The 26,060-nt window shown below is 44.3% G+C and overlaps 1 protein-coding gene and 1 pseudogene across 7 annotated transcripts in view; both read right to left on the bottom strand.

The window, feature by feature from the left end:
- SIMC1 (SUMO interacting motifs containing 1) overlaps positions 1–26,060 on the bottom strand; it is a 107,566-nt gene that overhangs the window by 33,067 nt on the left and 48,439 nt on the right. For 5 of the 7 annotated variants that reach the window (NM_001308196.2, NM_001308195.2, XM_011534556.3 and 2 more), the window contains 3 exons: positions 21,968–23,269; positions 17,661–17,893; positions 16,603–16,672 (listed from right to left, as the gene is read on the bottom strand). In NM_001308196.2, the coding sequence (NP_001295125.1) occupies positions 16,603–16,672; positions 17,661–17,893; positions 21,968–23,269 (1,605 nt within the window). The remainder of the gene's footprint in view (positions 1–16,602; positions 16,673–17,660; positions 17,894–21,967; positions 23,270–26,060) is intronic. The other 2 variants (NR_131772.2, NM_198567.6) reach the window with 1 other exon arrangement.
- BRCC3P1 (BRCA1/BRCA2-containing complex subunit 3 pseudogene 1) lies at positions 3,713–4,868 on the bottom strand (annotated as a pseudogene).

The following is a 26,060-nucleotide window of genomic DNA, read 5'->3' as shown; positions in this document are numbered from 1 at the left end:
AGTGTTAAGTACCTGTCACATAGTAGGCAAGCATGCACAATTTGTTGGTTTCCCTTTACTACCAGACAAGTGCTGGGAGCTTAGGCTTCAAACTTTAAAGAACCAGAAGGTACCAAACTATTTCTGGACTATGTGGAAACCTCCGAACTCCAGAGAATAGGTATATTTTCTCAGAACATAAACTAATGGACCAGGATATGATTCAGTCAGTAGGAAACTAAGTGACCATTCTGAATACATATCATTTCTTTCTTTTTTGGGAGGAGGTGACAATATCTTTGTCTTCCAAAGGTGTTTATTTTTCTCTAATCCTTGATAACTGATGCAAATGCTTTTTTAAAAAATCATGTACCTGTGCTAGATTTTTTTTTTTTTTTTTTTTTTTTGAGATGGAGTCTTTGGTCTGTCACCCAGGCTGGAATGCAGTGGCGCGATCTTGGCTCACTGTAACCTCTGCCTCCCAGGCTCAAGCAATTCTCCAGCCTCAGCCTCCCAAGTAGCTGGGATTATAGGTGCCTGCCACCAGGCCTGGCTAATTTTTGTATTTTTAGTAGAGACAGGGTTGCACCATAATGGTGAGGCTGGTCTTGAACACCTGACCTCAGGTGATCCACCTGCATCGGTCTCCCAAAGTGTTGGGATTATAGGCGTGAGCCGCTGCGCCTGGCCTTGTGCTAGATTTTTGATAAAAAGAAAGTCTTCTACTGACTCCACTCTCCACCACTACTTGTGTTCTCCAGTATCCTAGAATAATTTTTAACTCATTCTTCTAGAAGTCACCATAAACATCTCTAAAGAAATAGGCTTTTATTATGATTTCTTGATTTATCAACTGTAGACATTATCTATTGCTTTCTGCTATGCTAGATAAGAATTTACTTAGGCCAATCCCCCACCTCTTCTCTTCCTAAAAGAAGTGTATTTCCATCATCTATAGACAGTATCTCTTGACTCCCCATTTTGGAAGATAAGGATGTTACACCAGCCCTGCTATTTTCAGAGGTCCTGTCCCTTTTCATCTCCCAAACTTTATCTTCTATACTTTCCGTTTTACATCGTCAAGGCTAATAAAATTGTCTCCTATGCTTTGTATATAAATTGATTCTAAATGTTATAACTACATAGTGTTTACAGTGTCAGGATTCTGTTAAAAGTATTTACTAATACGTTTACTAACTACTTTTAGTAAATCCATATAGTATACTAAGAAAATCATTCCTTTCTTGTGAAGTTTTTTTGTTTTTCTAGAGTTTTGTTTTTTTCTCCCCTCCTTTAACTACCTGTAATTATATCTCTTTCAACTCAAGAATAGTGCTGAATCTTGAGAATACCTATTTTCCCCAAATAATTCTTTCTCTCTTTTTTTTTTTAAATAATGTGGGCTGGGCATAGTCATTCATGCCTGTGATCTCAGAACTCTGGGAGGCTGAGGTGGGAGGATCATTTGAGGCCAGGAAACAAGACCAGCCCCGGAAACATAGTGAGACCCCCATCTCTACAAAAATAAAAATAAAAAAATTATCCAGGCGTGATAGCATGTGCCTGTAGTCCTAGCTACTTAGGAGGCTGAGGCAGGAGGATCACTTGAGTTCAAGAGGTCATGGCTGCAATGAGCTATGATCATGCCACTGCACTCCAGCCTGGGTGACAGAGCAAGAGACCCTGTCTCAAAAATAAATAAATAAAACAACTTTATTAGCATACCATAAAATTCAGCCATTTTAAAAGTACAATTCAATGATTTGTAGTAAACCTACTGAGTTGTGCAAACATTACCATAATCTACTTTTTAGAACATTTCCATTACCCCACAAGATCCCTCATGGGCACTTACAGTTCCCTTTCCAATCATTAGGCCAAGGCAACCACTCATCTGCTTTCTGTCTCTCTAGATCTGCCTTTTCTAAACATTTCTTAGAAATAGAATCATATAATATGTAATGTTTTGTGTGTGGTTTCTTTCACTTAGCTTATTTTTTTTAACGTCTGCCCATATTAATGGTATGCATCAATAGCTCATTGCTTTTTTATTTTTTATTTTTATTTTTTGCTATCTAGACTACAGACTTTATTCATTATCACCAGATTTTACATGCATTCATTTGTGTGTATGTAGGTCCATACAACTTCAGCACAGGTAAAGACTCATGTGCTTAACCTCATAATCAAATGTTATAATCAACATCATAATCATCATAATCATATAGAACTGTTCCATCAGCACAAAGGAACTCCTTGCGTCATCCCTTTATAGTCATACATACCCCACACCTCCTCCAGTCCCTATCCCTGGCAACCATTAATCTGTTCTTCATTTCAATAATTTTGTCACCTCAAGAATGTTATATAAATGCAATCATACATTATGTGACCATTTGAGACTGGCTTTTTTTGTTCACCATAATACCCCTGAGGTACAACCAAGTTCTTGTAACCAACAGTTAGTTCCTTTTCATTCCAGAGCAGTATTCCAAGTTATGGATGGTTTGTTTAACCACGTACCTGTTGTAGGACATCTGGGTTGTTTCCAGTTTGGGGCTATTACAAATAAAGCTCCTATGAATATTTGGGTACAAGTACAATATAGGTTTTCATTTCTCTGGAATGAATGTCCAGGAGCACAACTGCTGGGTCTTATGTTTAACTTGATTAAAAAATTATGCTTAACTCGATAAGAAATTTATAAACTCTTTTCCAGAGGGGCTGTACCATTTTACATTCCTGTCAGCAATGTATAAAATATCCAGTTTGTATCCTCATTAGTATTTGGTATTTTTACTATTTTTTCTTTAGCCATTCAGATAAGTAAGTCATAGCCTCACTGTGGTTTCAATTTGCATTCCCTGATGACTTATGGAGTTTAACAGCTTTTCATATGCTTACTTGCCATCTATAGATCCTCTTCAGTGAACCATCTATTCACGTCTTTTGCCCATTTTCTAATTGGACTGTTTGTTTTTATTGTTGAGTTTTTGTGGCCTTTTTTTTGAGACAAGGCCTCACTCTGTTACACAGGTTGGAGTGTGGTGGTGTGATCATAGCTCACCGCAGCCTCAAACTCCTGGGCTCAAGTGATCCTCCTGCCTCCCTAGTAGCTGGGACTACTGGTGTGTGTCATGGTGCCCAGCTAATTTTTTAAAAAAATTTTTTTGTAGAGACAGAGTCTCACTATGTTGCCAGGCTGGTCTGGAACCCCTAACCTCAAGCACTCCTCCCATCTTGGCCTCCCAAAGTGGTGAGATTACAAGCATGAGCTACCATGCCTGACTTCAGTTGAGTTTTTAGCACACTTTAAATATTCCAAATTGATCAGATATATGGTTTGCAAATTCATTTCAATCTGTAGTTTATCTTTTCCTCTTCTTAAATCACAAGTTTTTAAATTTTGAAGAAGTCCAATATACCAGTTTTTATCTTTTACGGATATGCTTTTGGGGCAAAGTCCAAGAACTTGTCACCTAGCCCAAGATCCTGAAGATTTTTCTCCTGTGGCTTTTTTCAAAGTTGTATAGTTTTATGTATTGCATTTAAGTCCATTATACATTTTGAATTAAATTTTATATAAGATGTGAGGTTTAAGTAGAGGTTCTTTTTTCTCCTTGCTATGGGTGTCTAATTGCTCCAGCATAATTTGTCAGAAAGGCTATTCTTCCTCCATTGAATTGCTTTTGCACTTTTTCAAAATCAGTTGAGCATATTTATATGGGTTTATTTCTGGGTTCTCTCATCTGTTCCATTGATCTATGTGTCTGTTCCTCTGCCAATACCATCTATCTTGATTACTACAGCTTTATAGTAAGTCTTGAAGTCAGGTAATGTGAGTCCTCCAAGTTTTTCTTCTTCAAAATTGATTTAGCTTAAGTAACTTTACACTGGATATTTTCATCTTTCTCCATTTTGTCTCCTGCTTTATTCCAGAGAAGAAAGTTCTTGCATAAGCTCTTCCTTTTCTTGTTGCAATTCCTGCAAATGCTATTGGTTTTGCTCCAGTCTGTCCTCCAACCACTGTAGAAGAGGCCCGCTGACTGCTGACATCTGACTGCACAGATTCTTGGTAAACACTGAGCCATTATGGATCTTGGTTATGAGTCCAGATGTGTAAGGCTGTGGATCCTCCAATATGCATCCTGCTCCTCCTGGCACAGGATCTTGGGCAGCTCTACTGCTGATTCAAGGCACGCTTTCCCGATAGTGACATGAGGTACAATATGGATTGGGATTTCGATTCTCTCATACCTTTCCTCTTCCTTCTGGCCCTCAATGGAGATGTGCTGGCTGGAGCTCCAGAAGTCTTGTGGACCATGAAGGGACTCTGAACTCTTTTGGGCCTGTATGGATTGGAAGCAAGTGTAGAGTACCCGGCCAGCCCTTGTGTTCTTATCTTCTATGAAACAGGAAAAAATAAGTCCTACAAAGCCTTGATCCATCATCTGGTACATGGCTTGGGTGCGAACATCAACATGTGAAGGCCAAACAGTTATATGAGGATGGGAATGATACCAGCCCACAACTCTCATGGGGTGGCCTGTCAGTTCAGCCAACTTCTCTGCCTCTGTTGAAGCTGCAGACAGCTGCCCTGGTGAAATTTCTACTTGGTCCTTCCTCTTATCAGAACGTCGTTAAGATGATGACAGAACGAATGTGAACAATTCTGATGGCATCAACCTTTTCAGCAACTGTGCGCATTTCAGTTCCAGTATATGCAAATTTGGAGTCACTCCTTGTATCATTGTTCAACTCCCCTATCCACAGCCCCATCACTTCCTCCTTCTCTGTGCTCAGAGCATGGTTGAGACAAACAAGGAAAGTGTCAGACTCTAGATGAACTGCCTGCACCGCCTGCACCACCTGCACTGCCATCTTGGCCCAGCTCATTGCTTTTAATTACTAAATAGTATTTCATTTTGTTCATCCATTCACCAGCTGATGGACATTTGGGTTATTTCCACATTTTGGCTATTATGTATAACACTGCTTTGAACATTTGAATGTATGTCTTTGGCTGACAGGTTTTCATTTTTGTTGGGTCTATATCTAGAATTGGAATAGATAGGGCAAATAAATTTATGTTCAACTTTTAAAGAAACTGTCAAACCATTTTCCAGAGTGCCTGTACTATTTATATTCTCATCAGCAATTTATGAGACTTATGTTCTCCACATTCTTGGCAATGTTTATTATTGTCTGTTTTCTTTTAACAAAAGTTTAAAAATTGTGATAAAGGCCAGGCGTGGTGGCTTACAACCTGTAATCCCAGCACTTTGGGAGGCCGAGGCAGGTGGATCATGAGGTCAGGAGATCACGACCATCCTGGCTAACACAGTGAAACCCCGTCTCTACTAAAAATACAAAAAATTAGCCGGGCGTGGTGGCGGGCGCCTGTAGTCCCAGCTACTCGGGAGGCTGAGGCAGGAGCATGGTGTGAACCCAGGAGGCAGAGCTTGAAGTGAGCTGAGATCACACCACTGCACTCCAGCCTGGGCAACAGAGCAAGACTCTGTCTCAAAAAAACAATTGTTACAAAAACCACATTATCATTAAATTTACTAAAGTAAACATTTTTAAGTGTACAGTTCAGTAGTGTTAAGTATATTCACAGTCCTGTAAAAGAGCCCCAGAACTTTTAATCTTGCAAAACTGAAACTCTATATCCATTGAACAACTTCCCATTTCACACTCCCTCACTGTTTTCCATAGCAGTTGCACCACTTTACAATCCCAAGAGTGCACAAAGGTTCTAATTTCTCCAAATTCTTGCCCACACTTATTTTTTGTTTTTTTAAAAAATAGTGGCCATTCTAATTGGTATGAGGTGACATTGCATTGTGGTTTTGATTTGCATACCTCTAATAACTAGTTATATTGAGTATCTTTTCAGAAGTTTGTTGGCCATTTCCATATCATCTTTGGAGAAATGTCTATATAAGTCCTCTGCCCATTTTTAAATTGGGTTATTCATTTGTTGTTGAGTTGCTGGAGTTCTTTATTATTTTTTTTTTTTAATTTATTTTTTTATTGATAATTCTTGGGTGTTTCTCACAGAGGGGGATTTGGCAGGGTCATGGGACAACAGTGGAGGGAAGGTCAGCAGATAAACAAGTGAACAAAGGTCTCTGGTTTTCCTAGGCAGAGGACCCTGCGGCCTCCGCAGTGTTTGTGTCCCTGATTACTTGAGATTAGGGATTGGTGATGACTCTTAACGAGCATGCTGCCTTCAAGCATCTGTTTAACAAAGCACATCTTGCACCGCCCTTAATCCTTTTAACCCTGAGTGGACACAGCACATGTTTCAGAGAGCACAGGGTTGGGGGTAAGGTCACAGATCAACAGGATCCCAAGGCAGAGGAATTTTTCTTAGTGCAGAACAAAATGAAAACTCTCCCATGTCTACTTCTTTCTACACAGACACGGCAACCATCCGATTTCTCAATCTTTTCCCCACCTTTCCCGCCTTTCTATTCCACAAAGCCGCCATTGTCATCCTGGCCCGTTCTCAATGAGCTGTTGGGCACACCTCCCAGACGGGGTGGTGGTCGGGCAGAGGGGCTCCTCACTTCCCAGTAGGGGCGGCTGGGCAGAGGTGCCCCTCACCTCCCGGATGGGGCGGCTGGCCGGACGGGGGGCTGACCCCCCCACCTCCCTCCCGGACGGGGCGGCTGGCCGGGCAGAGGGGCTCCTCACTTCCCAGTAGGGGCGGCCGGGCAGAGGCGCCCCTCACCTCCCGGACGGGGCGGCTGGCCGGGCAGGGGGCTGACGCCCCCACCTCCCTCCCGGACGGGGCGGCTGGCCGGGCAGAGGGGCTCCTCACTTCCCAGTAGGGGCGGCCGGGCAGAGGCGCCCCTCACCTCCCGGACGGAGCGGCTGGCCGGGCGGGGGGGCTGACCCCCCCCAACCTCCCTCCCGGACGGGGCGGCTGGCCGGGCGGGGGGCTGACCCCCCCACCTCCCTCCCGGATGGGGCGGCTGGCCGGGCAGAGGGGCTCCTCACTTCCCAGTAGGGGCGGCCGGGCAGAAGCGCCCCTCACCTCCCGGACGGGGCGGCTGGCCGGGCAGGGGGGCTGACCCCCCCCACCTCCCTCCCGGACGGGGCGGCTGGCCGGGCGGGGGGCTGACGCCCCCACCTCCCTCCCGGACGGGGCGGCTGGCCGGGTGGGGGGCTGACCCCCTCACCTCCCTCCCGGACGGGGCGGCTGGCCGGGCGGGGGGCTGACCCCCCCACCTCCCTCCCGGACGGGGCGGCTGGCCGGGCAGAGGGGCTCCTCACTTCCCAGTAGGGGCAGCCGGGCAGAGGCGCCCCTCACCTCCCAGACGGGGGGGTTGGCCGGGCGGAGGGCTGACCCCCCCACCTCCCTCCCGGACGGGGCGGCTGGCCAGGCGGGGGGCTGACCCCCCCACCTCCCTCCCAGACGGGGTGGCTGGCCGGGCTGAGGGGCTCCTCACTTCCCAGTAGGGGCGGCCGGGCAGAGGCGCCCCTCACCTCCCAGACGGGGCGGCTGGCCGGGCGGGGGCTGACCCCCCCACCTCCCTCCCGGACGGCACGGCTGGCCAGGCGGGGGCTGACCCCCCCCCCGGATGGCACGGCTGGCCGGGCGTCGGGGCTGACCCCCCACCTCCCTCCCGGACGGGGTGGCTGGCCGGGCTGAGGGGCTCCTCACTTCCCAGTAGGGGCGGCCGGGCAGAGGCGCCCCTCACCTCCCAGACGGGGCGGCTGGCCGGGCGGGGGGCTGACCCCCCACCTCCCTCCCGGACGGCACGGCTGGCCAGGCGGGGGGCTGACCCCCCCCCCCTCCTGGATGGCACGGCTGGCCGGGCGTCGGGGCTGACCCCCCACCTCCCTCCCGGACGGGGTGGCTGCCGGGCGGAGACGCTCCTCACTTCCCAGATGGGGTGGCTGCCGGGCGGAGAGGCTCCTCACTTCTCAGACGGGGCAGCTGCCGGGCGGAGGGGCTCCTCACTTCTCAGACGGGGTGGTTGCCAGGCAGAGGGTCTCCTCACTTCTCAGACGGGGCGGCCGGGCAGAGACGCTCGTCACCTCCCAGACGGGGTCTCGGCCAGGCAGAGGCGCTCCTCACATCCCAGATGGGGCGGCGGGGCAGAGGCGCTCCCCACATCTCAGACAATGGGCAGCCGGGCAGAGACGCTCCTCACTTCCTAGATGGATGGCGGCTGGGAAGAGGCGCTCCTCACTTCCTAGATGGGATGGCGGCCGGGCGGAGACGCTCCTCACTTTCCAGACTGGGCAGCCAGGCAGAGGGGCTCCTCACATCCCAGACGATGGGCGGCCAGGCAGAGACACTCCTCACTTCCCAGACGGGGTGGCGGCCGGGCAGAGGCTGCAATCTCGGCACTTTGGGAGGCCAAGGCAGGCGGCTGGGAGGTGTAGGTTGTAGTGAGCCGAGATCACGCCACTGCACTCCAGCCTGGGCACCATTGAGCACTGAGTGAACGAGACTCCATCTGCAATCCCGGCACCTCGGGAGGCCGAGGTTGGCAGATCACTCGCGGTTAGGGGCTGGAGACCGGCCCGGCCAACACAGCGAAACCCCGTCTCCACCAAAACCAGTCAGGCGTGGTGGCGCGTGCCTGCAATCGCAGGCACTCGGCAGGCTGAGGCAGGAGAATCAGGCAGGGAGGTTGCAGTGAGCCGAGATGGCAGCAGTACAGTCCAGCTTCGGCTCCGCATGAGAGGGAGAGGGAGAGGGAGAGGGAGCTGGAGTTCTTTATATATTCTGGATATTAACCCTCATCAGATATATGATTTATAACTATTTTCTCCCATCCCATAAGCTGCCTTTTCACTCTATTTGGTATTTTCTATTTTTATTGCTCACTCTGTTGATGCACAGAAGTTCTGAAGTTTGATGCAGTATTATTTGTCTATTTTTGTTTTTGCTGCCTGTGTTTATGGTGTAATATTCAAGAAATCAATTGCCAAATCCAATGTCATGAAGCTTTGCCCCATGCTTTCTTCAATGAATTTTATAGATTTGGGTCTTATATTCAGGTCTTTAATGCATTTTAAGTTAATTTTTATATGTTCAGAGTCCAACTTCATTCTTTTGCAAGTGGATATCCACTTTTTCCTATGACATTCAGAGACTGTCTTTTCACCACTGAGTCGTCTTAGCACCCTTAATGAAGATCACTTGACCATGTACCCAAAGGTTTATTTCTGGGCTCTCTAGTCCATATGTCTATCTTCTTTCTTGTACCACACTGTTTTGAGTACTGTAGCTTTATATTTTACAGTCAAGAAGTGTGAGAACTCCAACTTTGTTCTTTTTATTTCAAGATTGCTTTGACTGGCCGGGCATGGTGGCTCACGCCTGTAATCCCAGCACTTCGGGAGGCCGAGGCGGGCGGATCATCTGAGGTCGGGAGTTCGAGACCAGCCTGATCAACATGGAGAAACCCGTCTCTATTAAAAATACAAAATTAGCCGGGCATGGTGGCGCATGCCTGTAATACCAGCTACTTGGGAAGCTGAGGCATCGCTTAAACCCAGGAGGCGGAGGTTGTAGTGAGCTGAGATTGCGCCATCACACTGTAGCCTGGGCAATAAGAGCTGAACTCTGTCTCAAAAAAAAAAAAAAAAAAATTGCTTTGGCTATTTGGTGTCCTTTGCAAGATACCAACTTTTTTTTTTTTTTTTTTTAAAGACAGAGTCTCACTCTGTCACCCACACTGGAATGCAGTGGCGTGATCTCAGCTCACTGCAACCTCTGCCTCCCGAGTTCAAGCAATTCTCTGGACTCAGCCTCCTGGGTAGCTGAGATTACAGGTGCCCACCATCATGCCCGGCTAAAGACATCAACTTCTGAAAGACTAAAAGTTGGTGTCTCTTGGGATTCAACATGAAATTTAGGATGGAATTTTCTATTTCTACAAAAAAAAAGAAATGCTGTTGGGATTTTGATGGGAATTGTGTTGAACCTGTAGATCACTTTGGGTAGTACTGACATCTTAACCATATTAAGTCTTCCACTCCATGAATATAGGAAGCCTTACCATTTATTGGTGTCTAATTTCTTTCCACAACATTTTGTAGTTTTCAGTATACAAATCTTTCACCTCCTTGGTTAGGTTTATGCCTGAGTATTTTATTCTTTTTGATGATATTGTAAATGAAATTGTGTTATTTCCTTTTCAGATTTTTCATTGTTGGTTTAACAAAAATGCAACTGAGTTTTGTGAGCTGGTTTTATATACTGCTGTTTTGCTGAATTCACTTATTATTTCATTTACTAGTTTTTTTTTTGGTGGAATTTTAGGATTTTCTACATATAAGATCATGTCACCTGTGAACAAAGATATTTTACTTCTCCCTTTCTAATTTGGATGCCCTTTATTTCTTTTTCTTGACTAACTGCTCTGTCTAGGTCTTGAGGTACTATGTTGAATAGAAGTGGCAAGAGCAGGCACATCTGATCTTAGAGGAAAATCTTTCAGTTTTTCACCATTCAGTATGATGCCAACTGTGGGCTTTTCACATATGGCCCTTATTATGTTGAGGTAGTTTTCTTTTATTTCTAGTTTGAGTGTCTTTATCAAGAAAGGGTGTTGAATTTTGTCAAATGTGTTTTCTGCATTAATTGAGGTGATTGTGTGTTTTTTCTCCTTCATTCTGTAATATGGTGTATCACATTTACTTTCATATGTTAAACCATCCAGGAATAAATCCCACATGTTCATGGTTTACAGTTGGCTCTCTGTATCTGTGGGTTCTGCATCCATGGATTCAACCAACTGAGATTTGAAAATAATTGAAAAAAAATTTACATCTACACTGAATATGTACAAATGTTTCTTCTTGTCATCATTCCTTAAACAATGCAGTATAACAACTATTTATATATAATTTACATTGTATTAGGTATCATAAGTAATCTACAGATGATTTGAAGTATATAAGAGGATGTGCATAGGTTATATGGGATTTGAACATCTGCAAATTTTGGTATCCAAGGGAGGTCCTGGAACCAGTCCCCCCATGTAGTCAACCAAGGGATGACTGCATATCCTTTTAATGTGCTGTTGAATTTTAGTTTGTTAGTATTTTGTTGAGGATTTCTTCATCAACATTTATTAGGTATATTGGTTGGCAGTTTTATTGTAGTTTTTTACTTTTCCTTTTTTTTTTTTTTTGAGACAGAGTCTCGCTCTATCGCCCAGGTTGGAGTGCAGTGGCACCATCTTGCCTCACTGCAACCCCTGCCTCCCGGGTTCAGGTGATTCTCCTGCCTCAGCCTCCTCAGTAGTTGAGATTTCAGGTGCATGCCACCATACTCGGTTAATTTTTGTTATCTTTAGCAGAGATGGGGTTTCATCATGTTGGTCATGCTGGTCTTGAACTCCTGGCCTCAAGCAATCCGCCCACCTTGGCCTCCCAAAGTGCTGGGATTGCAGGCATGAGCCACTGCACCCAGCTGCTTGTAGTTTTTTTGATCTGGCTTTGGTATCAGGGTGTATCACGCTACTAATAAAGACATACCCTAGACTGGGTAATTTATAATGGAAAGAGGTTTAGTTGCCTTACAGTTCCACATGGCTGGGGAGGCCTCACAATCATGGCAAAAGGCGAATGAGGAGCAAAGTCACATCTTACATGTCAGTAGGCAAGAGAGCTTGTGTAGGGGAACTCCCCTTTATAAAACCATCAGATCTCATGAGATTTATTCACTATTATGAGAACAGCACAGGAAAACCCGCCCCAATGATTCAATTACCTCCCACCAGGTCCCTCCCATAACACGTGGGAATTATGGGAGCTACAATTCAAGATGAGATTTGGGTGGGGACACGGCCAAACCATATCACAGGGTAATGCTGGCCTCACAGAATAAGCTGAAATAAGTTATCTCTCCGGTTTTTTGCAAAAGTCTGAGGAGGATTGGTGTTAATTTTTATTTAAATGTTTGGCCAAATTTACTAGTGAAGCCACCTTGTTCTAGGCTTTTTTGTTGAAAGGTTTTTGATTACTGATTCTATCTCCTTACTAGTTATTGTTCTGTTCAGATTTTTTATTTCTTCATGAGTCAATCTTGGTAGGTTTCTAGGAATTACTCCATTTATTCTAGGTTATCCAGTTTATTGGGGGTATAATTGTTGGTAGTATTCTCTTATAATCCTTTTTATTTCTGTGGCACTGGTTGTAATGCCCCCTCTTTCATTTCAGATTTTAGTAATTTTTAAAAATTCTATCACTGAGCTATCAATGCTGATTTTAGTAATTTGAATCTTCTCTCTTTTTTAATCTAGTTAAGAGTTTGTCAGTTTTGTTCTTTTCAAAAACCCAACTCTGTGGCTGGGTGCAGTGGCTCATGTCTGTAATCCTAGTACTCTGGGAGGCAAAGGTGGGAGAATCACTTGAGGCCAAGAGTTCAAGACCAGCCTGGGCAACTTAGCTAGATTCCCACCTCGACAAAAAATAATAAAAAATTAGCTGAGTATGGTGACGCATGCTTGTTTTCCCAGCTACTTGAGAGGCTGAGGCTGGAGGACAGCTTGAGCCCAGAAGTTCAAGGTTTCAGTAAGCGATAATTGTGCTACTGAGCTCCAGCCTGGGTGACAGAGTGAGACTCTGCCTCAAAACAAACAAATGAAATGTTTAAAAACCCCATATCTTAGTTTTGTTCATTTTTTCCCTATTCTCCATTTATCTCTGCTCTAATCTTTACTATTACCTTCCTCTGCTAACTTTGGGTTCAGTTTCTTCTTTTCCTACTTTAGATATACTCAGGTTGTTGGTTTGAGATCTTTCTTTTTCAGTGCAAGCATTTATTTACATCTGTACTTCTTAGTGCTGCTTTTGCTGCATCCATAAGTTTTCGTATGTCATATTTCCATTTTAATTTGTCCCGGAGTATTTTAAAATTTCCCATGAGATTTTTTTTCTCTGAACCATTGTTGTGTGTTGTTTAGTTGCCACATATTTGTGGGTTTTCCAGATTTCATTCTGCTATTGATTTCTAGTTTCATCCCATTGTGATTGGAAGATACTTAGTATAATATTGATGTTTTTACATTTTGTTTAAGTCTTGTTTTGTGGCCCAACATGTGGTCTATCTGGAGAAAATTCCACGTACACTTGAGAAGAATGTGTGTTCTGCTGTTGTTGGGTGGAATGTTCTGTGTATGTCTATGGTTAAGTGGCCTATAGTATTGTTCAAGTGCTCTGTTTCCTTATTGATTTTCTGTCTGGTTATTTTCTCCATTATTGAAAGTGGGGTACTGAATCTCCTACTATTATTGTGTTGTCTATTTCTTCTTTCAATTCTGTCAGTGTTTGCTTTATATATTTAGGAAGTCTGATGTTTAGTGCATATATATTTGTAATTGTTATACCTCCTTGGTGAATTGACCCTTTTATTATATAATGTCCTTCTTTGCCACTTGTAACAGTTTTTGACTTAAAGTCTTTTTGTCTTATATTAGTATAGCCACCCTTGCTCTCTTTGGATTACCAGTTGTGAGGAATATCTTTTCTCATCCTTTCACTTTCAGCAAATCTTTATTTCTTTTTTTTTTTTTTAGAGACAGGGTCTTGCTATGTCACCCAACTGGAGTGCAGTGGCACTATGATAGCCTACTGCAGCCTAGAACTCCTGGGCTCACGGGATCCTCCCACCTCAACCTCCACAGTAGCTGGGACAACAGGTGTGTGTTACTATGCCTACTAAGTAAAAAACTTTTTTAGAGACAAGAGTCTTTCTATGTTGTCTAGGCTGGTCCTGAACTCCTGACTTCAAGCAATCCTTCTACATTGGTCTCCCAAAGTGCTGGAATTACAGGCGTGAGCCATTGCACCTGGCCACAAGAGTTTGGTATTTGAAAAGATATAAAGTGGGACTCTTGTAGATGGCATATAGTTGGATCCTGGTTTTTAGTCCATTCAGCTAATCTCTGTCTTTTAATTGGGGACTTTAATCTATTTGCATTTAAAATAATTACTGACAGGGAAGAACTTACTATGGCCATATTAATTATTTCCTATACGTCTTGTAGCCTTTTCAGGCCTCCTTTCCTTTGTTACTGCCTTCCTTCATTTTTCATTGATTTTTTTTGTAGTGACATGCTTTGATTTCTTTCCCATTTCCTTTTGGTTATATTCTATAGATATCTTACTTGAAGTTACCAATGAGATCACATAACATGTCTTAAAGTTATAACAATCTAGTTTAACAACTTCAGTTGCATACAAAAACCTCTACTTCTTTACTACTCCACTGCAATTTATATTATCAATGTCTTAAAAGTTAGATCTTTATATACTGTATACCCATAACTTGTTTTGTTTTTTGAGACAGAGTCTTGCTCTGTTGCCCAAGCTGGAGTGCAGTGGCATGATTTTGGCTCACTGCAACCTCCACCTTCTGGGTTCAAGCAATTCTTGTGCCCAAGTAGCTGAGACTGCAGGCATGCACCACCACACCCAGCTAATGTTTATATTTTTAGTAGAGATGGGGTCTCACCATGTTGGCTGAGCTGGCCTCGAACTCCCGACCTCAGGTGATACTCCCATCTCAGCCTCCCACTCCAGGACAGGTGTGGTGGCTCACGCCTGTAATCCCAGCACCTTGGGAGGTCGAGGTGGGTGGCCAGGCAGCCCCCAGACAAGTCAGTACATTGCATGCATGGTCCACTCTTTTGTTTCTGGCCCAAGGGAAGAGCCAAGGTATGGGAGGTTTTTTCCTGGTTGAACCATGCTTTGCTGGGGAGGGAGAGGGACATGGGCATGCAAAATGCCACAAACTTTCCTAGCACTTTTGATAGACTATGTTCTTGGTTAGGCATTGGCCTGGGCACTGAAGCTTCTTAATTCGGCTCTAGAGTTCTCACAGTGATATTCTGGTCTGTATATGGTTGTTAATTCAGTGTCTCCATGGGGTAACAAGGGCCTGGAGCTTCCTAGTCTACCATCTTGCAGATGTCTCCCAGATTGTTCCTATTTAAAGCCCTCTGTTATTTCACTCCTATCTGGACTAACTGCTTCCTAGGTGTGCTATTCATTGTAATCTTGGGACTTCAATACTCTCCTGGATTAAATCTGATGTTGCCTGAATCCCATGCCTCCCCCCTTTTTTTGATTACTTCCTCATTCCTTTGATATACTACCTCAGGTAACCTCCTAAGAAACAGGGTATGAGGATATATTTTCAAATTCCTGCATAGCTGGAAATGTCTTAATTGTATCCTCACACTTAACTGATAGTTTGGCTAAGTACAGAATTCTAAGTAATTTGTTTTAGCCAATTGCTTTAGGTGAGCAGACAAAAAGTTGGGGATCCATTAAATTAAACTTGGGGATCCTTAAAGGTCAGAATGTGGAAGACCTTCTTCCTGTAGCACCAACTCTGCACTAGCTGTCTTTGTTTATTACAGAGAGTTCATTCAACGTTTTTTTTTTTTTTTTTTTTTTTTTGAGACAGAGTTTCGCTCTTGCTGCCCAGACTAGAGTGCAATGGCATGATCTGGGCTCACTGCAACCTCCATCTGCTGGGTTCAAGCAATTCTCCTACCTCAGCCTTCCGAGTAGCTGGGATTACAGGCATGTGCCACCACACCCAGCTAAATTTTCTATTTTTTAGTAGAGACAGGGTTTCTCCATGTTGGGCAGGCTGGTCTCAAACTCCCGACCTCAGGTGATTTGCCCGCCTTGGCCTCCCAAAGTGCTGGGATTACAGGCATGAGCCACCACGCCTGGCCTCATTCAACTTTTTTAGACAATACATTCTGTGACTTTTTGCCTGAAGGTAGGTAACCTGGCTACTGATCCTTCTGCCCTCAGCAATGAAGAGGTTGGCTGTTCCATCCACAAACTTTCAATAAATATCCAATAGCCCACATCTGACTCCTGCCCTCTATTAGATATTGTGTTTCTAAATCCAAGACCTCTCTGGTGCTCTAAAGTGAAGATTCATCCTTCCTTGGCTGTAGCCTCTTTACATATATGTGGCTTTCTCTGCCCGGCTCATCAGTCATCACTCTTACATTCTCTGTAGGTCTCCCTAATCTTCATTCAAATCTGCTATCCTTCCCCTTTTTTCATAGCCATGAATTTATAACTTTCTCTATTCATTTACTATTATTTTTAATGGGATCTCAAGGAGAGGGATAAGTAAATATACTAAATCTTGAATTGGAAGATAGCACATACCATTTCAATAGGAATTTTTTGGCAGGGGTGGGAGAATCAGGAGGGAATAATGGTGTAGACTTTATTACCAGATTTACTGTCACTTTTCTTTTTTCTTTTAAGACAGGGTCTTGCTCTGTCACCCAGGCTGGAGTACAATGTTGTGATCATGGATCACTATAGCCTTGACCTCCTAGGCTCAAGCAATCCTCCTGCCTCAGCCTTCTGTGTAGCTGGGACCACAGGCATGCATCACTATGCCTGGCTAAATATTTTATTTTTATTTTTGTAGAGACAGGGTCTCATTTTGTTGCCCAGGCTGGCCTTGAACTCCTGGGCTCAAACTGTCCTCCTGCCTCGGCCTCCCAAAATGCTGGGATTACAGGTGTGAGCCATGGCACCTGATATCACTTTTCTTTATAGTTAAAACTTCCCCTACAGAAGATATAATCTTATAATTGTTGTTACCTCTTCCTCCATGACATAGGTGAGCAGTTTCCAGTCCCACTCCACTGTCTTGGCATTGGCTGGATGTAGCCTGAAAGTCAAGTGAAATCAATTAGAATTATGGAGAATTTAGCGGAAGAAGGGATAGGATCTGAAGGTGATAGAAGGAAGAAGCCTCTTCCTATCCTCCATTATCCTCCATGCTCTTGCTCACTTTCTGGTATCATACCATGTCAATCTGAGAGTAGTGGAACTTCATTGTTTTTTGCTACCCAGTATCCAGTCCCCTTTTGGAAAGCTTTAGTACTATAATTTTGTCTTAAGAAACCAACTCTTCACTACTCTTAACCAACTAGTTTTACCTACCAGAACCCCAAAATGAAGTATGTGGCTTTTTTAGCCAATCGTGCTGTTCTACCCCTCAGTTCACGGTGATTGGCTCAAAGATATGGTCATGTCTCTCATTAGGCCAATTAAATCCTGCAAGACTCAATTTCAGAACTCTTGGGTGACTATAAAGGAAGCAGACACTCTTTCCCACTGGAAGTGTCATAAAAGCCTGAGGCTGAGAGGCTACCACATGCAGCCCCAAAACAGAACTGAGGCTGAGAGGCTACCACATGCAGCCCCAAAACAGAACTGAGGCTGAGAGGCTACCACATGCGGCCCCAAACAGAACTGAGGCTGAGAGGCTACCACATGCGGCCCCAAAACAGAACTGAGGCTGAGAGGCTACCACATGCGGCCCCAAAACAGAACTGAGGCTGAGAGGCTACCACATGCAGCCCCAAACAGAACCGAAGTAGAGCTGCAGAATGAACCCTGGTAACCATTTTTGTATACTGAATCAAGTCACATCTCACTCCTCGGTTTCTAGTAACACGAGCCATTAAATTCTCTTTTAGCAGTAGTTAAGGTCTGTTTGGACTGGGTTTCCTATCATTTGCAATTCAAATAACACTAATATGCTAAGTCACCCACTGTAACGGTTAGGTTAAAAAAGCCTGTCAAGAGAAAGCTATGCCCTGAGTCCAAGATCCCTAGAAGATTCGCCAACAGCCAGAGGTTACGGTTCATACTGTTGAATTTTCATGAGAAGCATGTAGGCCTCCTTTAGGACATCCACAGTCTCAGAGCCACTGAGCAAGATTTTCTGGATGATGTGAGCCACGATTTCTCTTGGTGGGTAATGCTGGGGTGACACAAAGTCCATCAAAAACTGCACAGTCCCCAGAGGAAAATTCTCTTCAATGGTATTTGTTACCATTCTTAGTCTTCGATGAGGGATGGGTTCTAATTTTTGACCCTTGTTCTGTAGAGATTAAAAAGAAGGAAATTAGGAGGGATTTCTTTTCTTTTTTTTTTTTTTTTTTTTTTGAGACGGAGTCTTGCTCTGTTCCCCAGGCTGGAGTGCAGTGGCGTGATCTCAGCTCACTGCAAGCTCTGCCTCCCGAGTTCATGCCATTCTCCTGCCTCAGCCTCCAGAGTAGCTGGGACTACAGGCGCCCACCACCACGCCCGGCTAATTTTCTTTTGTATTTTTAGTAAAGACAGGGTTTCACGGTGTTAGCCAGGATGGTCTCAATCTCCTGACCTCGTGATTTGCCTGTCTCAGCCTCCCAAAGTGCTGGGATTACAGGTGTGAGCCACGGCGCCGAGCCGGGATTTCTATAGTATACAAAAATAAGAGGTTCTAGAATACGTTGAAGATAGCAAAGTTTTCCAGGCATTTGAAATATTTCATGATTAAAAAAAAAAAAAGAGGACGGGTGCAGTGGCTCATGCCTGTAATCCCAGCACTTTGGGAGGCCAAGGCAGGAGAACTGCTTGAGGTCAGGAGTTCGAGAGCAGTCTGGCCAACATGGTGAAACCCCGTCTCTACTAAAAATATAAAAATTAGCCAGACGTGGTGGCACGCAACTGTAGTCCCAGCTACTTGAAGGCTGAGACATGAGAATTGCTTAAACCCGGAAGGTGGAGGCTGCAGTGAACCAAGATGGCGCCACTGCACTCCAGCCTAGGTGACAGAGCGAGACTCCAAATCAAAACAGACAAAAAAGAGCTTTATCTAAAAAACTTTTAATGACATGGGAAAAAGCTCATATAAAGTTAAAAAATCAGAATTCAAAATTGTACATATAACATGATTTCATCTATGTTAAAATATAGCATAGACAGAAAAATACAAAAGGGTCAACAGGTAGCCTAGGTTGATTTTGGGGTGAGGGTAACTAGAGACTTAGGGATAGCTGTGATACTATATCAGATACCGAAATAGATAAGAAAGAAGTTTTAAATTCATTTTGTTGTTAGGAGAAGAATTCCATTTTTTTTTTGTGCGAACAGTAAATATTAAGTTGCTTCTTCCCCCAAAAAATATGTATATAAAGACTGCGAGAGAATATGTGAAAAGTGATTTTCTATTATGTGGGTGGTAGAATTAGTGGTGATTTTTTCTCTATGTGCTCTTCTATATTTTTCAATTTTTCCATAACACACTTATTACTTTTATAATTAGAATTAAACAATTTTAAAGTTTGATATGAGGGTTTAATAACAATAAATTTGGAGCTCTTAATTTTTTTTTTTTTTTTGAGATGAAGTCTGGCTCTGTCACCCAGGCTGGAACACAGTGGCATGATCATGGCTCACTGCAACCTCTGCCTCCCAGGCTCAAGCCATCCTCCCACCTCAGCCTCCCAAGTAGCTGGGACTACAGGTGTGTGCCACCATGCCTGGCTAATTTTTTTTAGTATTTTTAGTAGAGATGGGGTTTCACCATGTTGCCCAGGCTGGTCTCGAACTTGTGAACTCAAGTGATCAAGACTGTCTTGGCTTCCCAAAGTGCTGGGATTATAGGTGTGAGCCATCATGTCTGGCCTTAAACAATTAATTTTTTTTTTTTTTGAGATGGGGTCTCGCTGTGTCGCCCACGCTGGAGCACTGTGGCGTGATCCTGGCACACTGCAAGTTCCGCCTCCCGGGTTCATGCCATTCTCCTGCCTCAGCCTCCAGAGTAGCTAGGATATAGGTGTGTGCCACCATATTCAGCTAATTTTTGAATTTTTTATAGAGGGGGTTTCACTATGTTGCCCAGGCTGGTCTCAAACTCCTGGGCTCAAGCAATCCACCGACCACGGCCTCCCAAAATGCTGGGGTTACAGGCGTGAGCCACTGCGCCCAGCACTGAACACTTAATTGATCCTCAACTAGTTCTTACAATAATCTTAGGAAATACATACTATTATTATTCCTATCTCATAAATAAAGAAACAGATTTGGAGGGTAAGCATTTGTCATACAACAAATGGCAGAAGCTGGTTTCAAACACACGTGGCGTAAACTTCAGAGCCATTCTCTCAACCCCTACTCCCCATAAACAACAAAAATAATGTGTATATGTTAAAAATCCCAATTATTAAAATATGTAAAATGCCTATGTATAAAAAGGCAACTGGGAAGGAAAGACATCAAATTATTCACAATAATAAATGCTGTCTGGGCCGGGCGCGGTGGCTCACGCCTGTAATCCCAGAACTTTGGGAGGCCGAGGTGGGCGGATCACTTGAGGTCAGGAGTTCAAGACAAGCCTGGACAACATGGTGAAACCCTGTCTCTACTAAAAGTACAAAAAGCCGGAAGTGGTAGCGGGCACCTGTAACCCAGCTACGCGGGAGGCTGTGGCAGGAGAATCGCTTGAACCTGGGAGGCGGAGGTTGCAGTGAGTGAGCTGAGATCGTACCACTGTACTCCAGCCTGGGTGACAGGGTGAGACTCTGTCCCAAAAAAAAAAGAATGAGCTAGTGGTCAGGCAGAGGCATAAAGAAGGAGAAGACCTACAACATATTAGAAGATGTAATAATTTTAAAAAAGAGAAAAAAAATCATTCTCCAAGGTCAAATCAGTGTGAATCCTTGGCTCCTGCCTACCTGGATCACTGCTTGAATGAGGAGAGCATACCTTTTGACACTGAACTGTTTCAAGCTGGTTTTCTTAATATGGGGGATGGGATGTACATAACTAAAAAACACTTCATACGGTGGAACTTAGCCAGTTATTTTCCCTAACACATCTAGTTTACTTCTCATAAATCAATGATGACCAATGGAAAGGAGCATTCCCACTCATGTCTTAATATTGAATTTCCTCCCCCAAAGTCAGCAAGTAATAATTTTGGAGGCCCATAAGTGATAGAGTATTATTATCTCTGTGATATAGAAGCTGTAATAAGGGCACCAGGAAGGGAAAAGCATAGGAGTTGAAGATAAACATTTATTTATTTTTTTGAGACAGAGTCTTGCTCTGTGGCCAAGGCTGGAGTGCAGTGGTGCAGTCTCAGCTCACTGCAACCTCCGCCTCCCAGATTCAGGTGATTCTCCTGCCTCAGCCTCCTGAGTAGCTGGGATTACAGGTGCATGCCACCACATCCAGCTAGAAGATAAGAATTTACATAAGGCCTACGATGAGCCTGACACCCTGACACTTTCACGTATGACCCTGTGAGGTATGTTATTACTTCCATTTTACAGATAGGAAAGCTAAGGCTTAAAAAGGTAAAGTGCCCTGCTGGGCGCGGTGGCTCATGCCTGTAATCCCAGCACTTTGGGAGGCTGAGGCGGGTGGATTACAAGATCAGGAGATCAAGACCATCCTGGCTAACACAATGAAACCCTGTCTCTACTAAAATACAAAAAATTAGCCGGGCGTGCCAGGCGCGGTGGCTCACGCCTGTAATCCTAGCACTTTGGGAGGCCGAGGCGGGTGGATCACGAGGTCAGGAGATCGAGGCCATTCTGGCTAACACTGTGAAACCCCGTCTCTACTAAAAATACAAAAAATCAGCTGGGCGTGGTAGCGGGCGCCTATAGTCCCAGCTACTCGGGAGGCTGAGGCAAGCGAATGACGTGAACCCGGGAGGCGGAGCTTGCAGTGAGCGGAGATCGTGCCACTGCACTCCAGCCTGGGCGACAGAGCGAGACTCCATCTCAAAAAAAAAAAAAAAAAAAAAAAATTAGCCGGGCATGGCGGCATGCGCCTGTAGTCCCAGCTGCTAGGGAGGCTGAGGTAGAAGAAACTCTTGAACCTGGGAGGCGGAGGTTGCAGTGAGCCAAGATTGTGCCACTGCACTCTAGCCTGGGAGACAGAGCAAGACTCGGTCTCAAAAAAAAAAAAAAAAAAAAAAGTAAAGTGACAGTTTTTAAGCGTGGGGCTAAAATTTGAACCCAGATCTGGGCCTCTACACTGAATGGGTCTTCACAAGTGGAGGAAAGATAAGAAATTTCATTTATGCTTGACCTGTCCTCTCACGCATGGACTCCAGTCACACTGACCTTCTCCTAGGCCTAGGGAAAGGACACCTAATCCCTGAGGGAAGATGTTAGCTCACCTCTCTTGTGTCTTTATCCGGTATTAGCGTCTGAAAGAAGAGGTGATGAACCGGAGGACGTAAGAAGTACTTCAGTCTATGCAGGCATGGTCTGTTGTACAACCCACCTTGTGGTGTTCGTGATTGTACGTGGGCAGACCCAGGTTTGGCAGGCTCTGACAGTGATATTTCTTTTCTGGCTGGGGTTTCCATGACAGAGAGCCAAGGAACTTTCTCTAAGGGAGTTTCAGACTGTGGGCTGGGAGAGCAGCTTGGAGAGGACAGAGCTGAGATATCCATAGGCATGTCACGGTTCTGTACATCATTCTGGGTAAAGTCAGGCCTGTCTCCTGGTAAGTGAGGGATGTCTCTAGGTGAGTGTGTCACGTCCCCTGATGAGTGTGGCATGTCTCCAGGTGAATGTAACACATCTCCCGGTAAGTGTGGCATGCCCCCTGGTGACTGTGGTGCATCTGGTGACGGTGAAACATCACTTGGTGACTGTGGCACATCTCCTGGTGACCGTGGCATGTCTTGCAGGTATGCCACATCTTGTGGATGTAATATGCTTTGAGGCAGCCCTGGCACATCTTGAGGTAGGCCCAGAGAGTCTTGAGGTGGGCCTGGGATATTCTGCCGAGGGCATGGCACTTCTTGAGGTGGGTGAGTTAGAGCTGGTAGTTGGCACTGCATGGTTTGTGATGGGCATGACAAGGCTCGTGGTGGGCATGAGGAGGCTCGTGGTGGACATGGTGAGGCTCTCGGTGGGCATGGCAAAGGTCGCAGGGGGCACGGCAAGGCCTGTGGTGGGCGAGATACATCTTGCTGTGGGCATGGCAAGGGTGCTTTTTGATTGCTGCTGCTGCTGCTGCTCCTACTATTATTGCTTGTTGGGGAGAGGGAGCTAACATCTGAAGACAGCTGTAGACTTGCCAAGAAGCTGAGGTTACCTGTGAATGTGGCTGAGCTACAATTAGGCTCTGTTGGATAAACAGAGCCTCCACTGATGGATGTAGCGGGTGGGGGACCTACAAAGGTGTTTTCTTCCACTAGGTCCAAATCTACAGGATCACTGTTAATGATTCTCCGTGCTGTAGGCTGAGAGCTTCTGTCCACGTGCCCTTCCATCACCGCTTTGCCAGAGAGGCTGGCACATGTCTGAAGACTGGTTGGCTCCTTCTGGGAAGGAGTGACAGGTTCTAAAGTTAAGTCAAGAGTGGCAATAGGTCTATTTTCTCCCTCAGCTCTTGTCAGGTCAATCACATACAGTCCACTGCGATCTTTTGTCCTTGGTCTGGTCTCTCTAGTTAAGTCAATGAAGTCCTGTTGAAGGATTGTGTGAAGAAAAGAGGTCAAGATGGGAGTATTAGCTTTATCTGAGATGACTTAAGTCTTAGCTTTTAAGGATAAGCATTACTTTACCATTTCACCTCACTGATAAGTTACACATCTTGTGTAACATAAGCAATAGTATTGCCAAAGCTGTCAATTTCTATACCTTCTTAAATTCTCCAAATGCCACATACGCATGACTAGGATCACAGTGGGATTTTTTTTTTTTCTGGTCCAAGGAGGACAGGGGAGTAGTAGGAGATATTCCAACCTTAAGTCATAAAGTCAAAAGCAACCTTTGTTTGGAAGGTCAAATACACAGGATAACCTACAACAAAAACTAAATAAGAAGTGAAGCAAATGTGAAAGAATCTATGTGCTAAGAACATGTTGAGTATTTTCACATATCTTTAATTTTCACAATGACCTGATAAGGTAGGCATTATCAATCCATCATACAGATGGGGAAACTAGAGTTCAGAGGGGTTAGGTTATCTACCTTAAGATTATACAGCTAAGTAGCAGAGACAGACATTCAAACACAGATCTGTCTCCTTCTTTCCCTGTGAGGGCCTAGGAATGTACAACTTGATTCAATGTGTAATCAACCTAGAAACAGATATGAAAGATAATATAACAAGGGTAATAAAACCAATAGTGTAAGTCTGAGCCCTAAGTAAGTAAATTAATGAAAACTTCCGATCTCCACTTCCATTCCTTGGCAAACTGATCAGGCTATTCACAAAGCCTAATGATACAGTACAGAGGTATTGTAATCAACCTCTGTACCATGAGCCTGGAAAAATATTGCTCTACCTTCTGTCTTCTCACTTACTTGGATACTACTGCCACTGGTACTTTAGGGCCCTGAGGCTAGCAATACTATTGCTGCTATCACAGCTACCATGCTATTTCTCTTAATAGATGGTCACCATTGTTAACAGCACCAAAGCAGAATACAGAATTCTGAGTGGGTCAAGTGAGAAGTTGGCATCCTGGAATAGGGATTGCTTGGTGAAATCTAATGCCTCATTCTTAGGAAGCAGCCATATAGTATCACCACCTTTGGTGGCTTGGCTCTCAATGGCAAGAACTGAACATAAATAGCTGAAAGGCCATCAAAGGTCTGAACTCAACTCCTCTCCCATAGCCAACTGCTAAAATGCAACATCACCAGGTCTCTCCCATTTATTTATTTATTTATTTATTTATTTATTTATTCATTCATTCATTCTTGAGATGGAGTCTCGCTCTGTTAGCCTAGGCTGGAGTGCAGTGGTACAATCTTGGCTCACTGCAAACTCTGCCTCCTGGGTTCACGTGATTCTCCTGCCTCAGCCTCCCAAGTAGCTGGGATTACAGATGTACACCACCACACCAGACTAATTTCTGTATTTTTAGTAGAGATGAGGTTTCACCATGTTGGCCAGGCTGGTCTCGAACTCCTGACCTCAGGTGATTCCCCGGCTTTGGCCTCCCAAAGTGCTGGGATTACAGGCACGAGCCACTGTGCCTGGACTATTTAAAACCCATCACCGGCTAGGCGCGGTGGATCACCTAGGGCCTAGGAATGTTTGCTTTTTTCATTTTACCTGGAATGACTATCATCCCTTTGATTGTTTGGAGTTTCTTGTCTTTCAAGACACAGCACAGACACCACAGAAGTGATCCTTCCAGATCACTTCTCCCCGCTGGTTAAACTAACCCCTTCCTCTATCATGTCTCCACTGAACCTATGCAAACCTCTCTCTCTATCCTCAAGAATTTAATGATATTGAAAATAGAAATGTATTTTTATTTCATTTTCCAATTGTCCATTGCTAATATAAATATACTTGATTTATGTATATTGATACTGTATCCTGCAACCTTGCTAAGTTCACTAGTTTGAGTAAACTTTTTTTTGTCGATTCCTTAGGATTTTTTTTTTCTTTTTTTATTCTTTCAATTTATTTTATTTTTTTAAGTGTTTGCTTACATTTTATTTTTATTTATTTTTAACTTTTTAAAAAATTATTATATTTTAAGTTCTAGGGTACATGTGCACAACATGCAGGTTTGTTACATATGTGTACATGTGCGATGTTGGTGTGCTGCAACCATTAAGTCGTCATTTACATTAGATATATCTCCTAATGCTATCCCTCCCGTAGCCACCCACCCCACTACAGGCCCCGGTGTGTTGATGTTGCCCTTCCTGTGTCCAAGTGTTCTCATTGTTCAATTCCCACCTATGAGTGAGAACATGCAGTGTTTGGTTTTCTGTCCTTGCGATAGTTTACTGAGAATGATGATTTCCAGCTTCATCCATGTCCCTACAAAGGACATGAACTCATCATTTTTTATGGCTGCATAGTATTCCATGGTGTATATGTGCCACATTTTCTTAATCCAGTGTATCATTGATGGATATTTGGGTTGGTTCCAAGTCTTTGCTATTGTGAATAGTACCACAATAAACATACGTGTGCATGTGTCTTTACAGCAGCATGATTTATAATCCTTTGGGTATATACCCAGTAATGGGATGGCTGGGTCAAATGGTATTTCTAGTTCTAGATCCTTGAGGAATCGCCACACTGTCTTCCACAATGGTTGAACTAGTTTACAGTCCCACCAACAGTGTAAAAGTGTTCCTATTTCTTCACATCCTCTCAAGCACCTGTCGTTTCCTGACTTTTTAATGATTGCCATTCTAACTGGTGTGATATGGTATCTCATTGTGGTTTTGATATGCATTTCTCCGATAGCCAGTGATGATGAGCATTTTTTCATGTGTCTG

The sequence above is a fragment of the Homo sapiens genome, chromosome 5 (assembly GCF_000001405.40).
Source record: "Homo sapiens chromosome 5, GRCh38.p14 Primary Assembly".
Taxonomy (NCBI): domain Eukaryota; kingdom Metazoa; phylum Chordata; class Mammalia; order Primates; family Hominidae; genus Homo; species Homo sapiens.
Note: the sequence above shows the minus strand (reverse complement) of the source record. Positions and strands in the feature narration are given on the sequence as shown.